Below are 2,941 nucleotides of genomic sequence, written 5' to 3'. Positions count from 1 at the left end.
AGATATTTGGGACTGAAACTTGACACTTGACCAAATAGACCTAACAGACATCTACAGAACACTCTACCAAATAATAGAATATACATTCTTCTCATCTGCACATGACATATTCTCTTAAATTGACTACCTGCTCAGTCATAAAACAATTCTCAACAAATTCAAAAGCAAAACAAAATCATACCAACCATGCTCTTGGATCACAGAATAATACAAAATAGAGATTAATAATGTGAAGATCTATTGAAGGCAGGGCCCAGAGAGCAGACTAGAAACAGCTCGCATGCACCACCCTCACAGAGAGGAAGCAAAAGGGCCAGTGAACATGGACCCTGCAGGCTGATCATCTATAAAACCATGTTGAGATTTATCAGAGCAGCAGGGCAACACAGAAAATAGAGAGGAGCAAAGCTGGGCCCCAGGCCACCTGGACTCAATATGGAGTCAGGAGTACCTCTTCAACATGGGAAAGGGTGAGTAAGTGAGAGCCCCCAGAAGGATTGTTGCTCTCCACAGAGGCCTGCACAAGACTGGGAATGGGAGAATCACCCTGGATCCTCCTGCACCCTCCCACCATGCTTCTAGACTGAGGCAGAGCCACCTGGATGTTTTATGGGGGCAAATCACAAGTCCAAGGGGAACTCCAGAGGCCTTGGGACTTACAGCAGACCAGCACCAGTGCCACAACCCCAATAGTGCAATAGTGGCCACAGTTGTGGTACCAGAGAGCAGTAATATCACTCCACCACTGTTTGCTGGCCAGGGCTCAGCAACTTCTGGCTCAGTAGTCCTGCTTTGTCCTGAACTTGGCTGGCCACCCCTTAAACCTCTGCCACTGGTAGCAAGAGGCAACACTTGCTAGAGTTTCCAGCCCAGAAGTCATACATTTGTGTGAACTTAGCTGTAGGGTACAGCTTCCTGTTGTCACAGGAAACACCCAGACAGCAGAGCCCAAGACCTCATCCATCCCCACCACTGACAGCCAGGAGGCCAACACCTGCTGGAGCCTCCAGACCAGTGGACCTGCTTCTGTGTGAGCTCAGCTGAAGGGTGCAGCTCCCTGTTGTCATGGTACATACCCAGATGAAACAGTGTTAAGAGGAAAGTTTACAGCATTAAATGGCCACATCAAAAAGTTAGTAAGCTCTCAAATCAAAGACAAACATCACCCCTTCAGGAACTAGAAAAACAAAAGTAAACGAACGCAAAACTAGTAAAAGACAAGAAATAACCAAAATCAGAGCTGAATTGAATGAAATTGAGATGCAAGAAAACGTACAAAAGATCAACAGAACCACAAATTGGTTCTTTGAAGGAATTAATAAAATTAATAGATCACTGGTAGCCAAGTAAAAAAAAAGAGAGAAGATCCAAATAAACACAATCAGAAATAACAAAGGAGACATTACCACTGACACCACAGAAATACCAAAAGCAAAAAAACTTCAGTGATGGTTACAAACACCACTTTGCACACAAACTGAAAACCTAGAAGAAATGAATAAATTCCTGGAAACATAAGACCTCTCAGTATTTATCCAGGAAGAAATTGAAACCCTGAACACACCAGTAATCAGTTCCAAAATTGAATCAGTAATAAAAAGCCTATAAACCAGAAAAAGTCCTGGACCAGATGAATTTACAGTGGAATTTTATCACATATATTAAGGAGAGCTGGTACCAATCCCACTGAAACTATTTCAAAAAATTGAGGGGGAAGGATTCCTTTCTAACTCATTCTATGAGTCCAGCATCATTCTGATACCAAAACGAAGCAGAGACACAAAAGAAAGAAAACCCCAGTCCAATATCGCTGATGAATATAGATGCAGAAATCCTCAATAATAAACTAGTAGGTCAAATCCAGCAGTTCCAAGACCAGCTCGGTTGGGGAGACCCTAACCCAGCAGCACTAGAGGAATTAAAGGCACACACACAGAAATATAGAGGTGTAAAGTGGGAAATCAGGGGTCTCACAGCCTTCAGAGCTGACAGCCCCAGAGATTTGCCCACTTATTTATTAACAGCAAGCCAGTCATTAGCATTGTTTCTATAGATATTAGATTAACTAAAAGTATCCCTTATGGGAAATGGGATTAACTAAAAGTATCCCTTATAGGAAACACAAAGGGATGGGCCAAAATAAAGGGATGGGTTCGGCTAGTTATCTGCAGCAGGAGCATGTCCTTAAGGCACAGATCGCTCATACTATTGTTTGTGGTTTAAGAATGACTTCAGGCAGTTTTCCGACCTGGGTGGGCCGGGTGTTCATTGCCCTCATTCCAGTAAACCCACAACCTTCCAGCATGGGGTCATGGCCATCATGAACATGTCACAGTGCTACAGAGATTTTGTTTATGGCCAGTTTTGGGGCCAGTTTATGGCCAGGTTTTGGGGGGCCTGTTCCCAACACAGTAGCACATCAAAAAGCTAATTCACCATAATCAAGTAGGCTTTCTTCTTGGGATGAAACATTGGTTCAACAGATACAAATCAATAAATGTGATTCATTACATAAACAGAGCTAAAAACCAAAACCACATGATTATCTCAATAGACGCAGGAAAGGTTTTCAATGAAATTTAACATCAGGCTGGGTGTGGTGACTCATGCCTGTAATCCCAGCACTTTGGGAGGCTGAGGCCGGTGGATTACCTGAGCTCAGGAGTTCAAGACCAGCCTGAGCAACATGGTGAAAACCCATCTCTACTAAAAATATACAAAAATTAGCTGGGCGTGGCAGTGCACATCTGTAATCCCAGCTACTCAGCAGGTTGAGGCAGAAGAATCACTTGAACCCAGGAGGTGGAGGTTACAGTGAGCAGATATCATGCCACTGCACTTCAGCCTGGGCCACAGAGTGAGACTCCATCTCAAAAAAAAAAAAAAAAAAAAAAAAAAAAAAAAAAATTTTAACATCTTTTGATGTTAAAAAGCCCTAAAC

At 43.0% G+C, this 2,941-nt stretch overlaps 1 annotated feature.

Annotated features, from left to right (window-relative positions):
- Nucleotides 2,566–2,718: a silencer, noted in NCBI's record as "fragment chr8:132369382-132369534 (GRCh37/hg19 assembly coordinates)". NCBI's record gives its function as "represses an EF-1alpha promoter that drives an FKBP-Casp9 reporter gene in an ReSE screen in K562 erythroleukemia cells {active_cell/tissue: K562}" and the evidence as "EXISTENCE:reporter gene assay evidence [ECO:0000049][PMID:32094911]".

The sequence above is a fragment of the Homo sapiens genome, chromosome 8 (assembly GCF_000001405.40).
Source record: "Homo sapiens chromosome 8, GRCh38.p14 Primary Assembly".
Taxonomy (NCBI): Eukaryota; Metazoa; Chordata; class Mammalia; order Primates; family Hominidae; genus Homo; species Homo sapiens.
The sequence above is the reverse complement of the archived record's forward strand: the minus strand, read 5'-3'. Positions and strand labels throughout refer to the sequence as shown.